Source organism: Homo sapiens, chromosome 8, assembly GCF_000001405.40.
Source record: "Homo sapiens chromosome 8, GRCh38.p14 Primary Assembly".
Classification (NCBI taxonomy): domain Eukaryota; kingdom Metazoa; phylum Chordata; class Mammalia; order Primates; family Hominidae; genus Homo; species Homo sapiens.
In genome coordinates this window covers 9,866,343-9,867,493 of record NC_000008.11, presented here as the reverse complement: position 1 = coordinate 9,867,493, position 1,151 = coordinate 9,866,343, and the positions used below count along the sequence as shown (strand labels likewise).

The window sequence follows — 1,151 nt, the reverse complement described above, 5'->3', positions numbered from 1 at the left end:
AACCAGCTCTCTAAGTGCTAGGAAACCAGGACTGTTCCTACTGTAGGCTGAGAAAGAAAGAGACCAGTGAGCCATGCCAGTGGTTCCCACACCTGCCTGCACCTCACACCCAGGCACATTAGAGCTGAGGAAGCCCCAGGGCATGAGTATCTTTAGAAAAACCCAGGGACTCAAATAAATGCTGGTAAACATAGACACTGGAATACTAGGCTACCATCAAAAAGACTGGGGCAGCTGTTATGAATGAAGCTGGTGTAAATCAGTATGCTTCCATTTGTATAGGGGATAATAATGTGTATTTGCCTTTGGTTATAGAAGCATAAAATCTCTGGAAGGATTCACAAGATCCTTGGGATGAGGGTTGCCTCTGAGGGAGTTACAGGAGGCTGGGAGACAGAGGGCAGAGAGCAACTTTTCCTACGGACCTTTTAAAATTAGTTGAATGTTAAATCACGTAAATAGTTTACCTGTGTCAAGGATTAGATCCTTTTGTAGGTCATAAGTGCGATGATTGGGATGTTGTGCTCAAGTGTGAGATGTGCCTGCCTCAAACCTTGTTACAACGTTGGCACATTACCTGTCTGACATGAAAAAAAAAAAAAAAAGGAGACAGGCGTGGTGGCTTTCACCTGTAATCCCAGTACTTTGGCAAGGTCAAGGCAGGAGATCACATGAGGTAAGGAGTTTGATACCAACCTGGCCAACATGATGAAAGCCTGTCTCTACTAAAAATACAAAAATTAGCTGGGCATGGTGGTTTGCTCTTGTAATCCCAGCTACTTGGGAGGCTGAGGCAGGAGAATCACTTGAACCCAGGAGGCAGAGGTTGCAGTGAGCCGATATCTTGCCATTTCACTCCAGCCTGGGTGACAGAGTGTGACTGTGTCTCAAAAAAACAAAAAGAAAGAAAAGAAAATAAATTAAATAACAAAATTAAAACAAAAGTGATTCTAATGCATAGCCACAATTGAGAGCTACTGTGCAACACAGTTGTGAGCCAACAGTGAAAACTACAAGGCCAATTACAAGCTTCAGGGACAATCTACATATCTATCTCTCTTTATTTATTTTGGAACAAGGTGCCTGTGGTCCCAGATACTCAGGAGGCTCAGGTGGGAGGATCGTTTGAGCCTGGGAGTTTGAGGCTGCAG

The 1,151-nt window shown here is 44.0% G+C and overlaps 1 non-coding gene across 1 annotated transcript; it reads left to right on the top strand.

The window, feature by feature from the left end:
• The first annotated feature begins 483 nt into the window (after nucleotides 1–483).
• On the top strand, nucleotides 484–587 carry LOC124902085 (small nucleolar RNA U13). The gene has a single exon (XR_007061216.1). It is a non-coding gene; the product is annotated as a small nucleolar RNA U13 (small nucleolar RNA).
• Nucleotides 588–1,151: the final 564 nt, after the last annotated feature.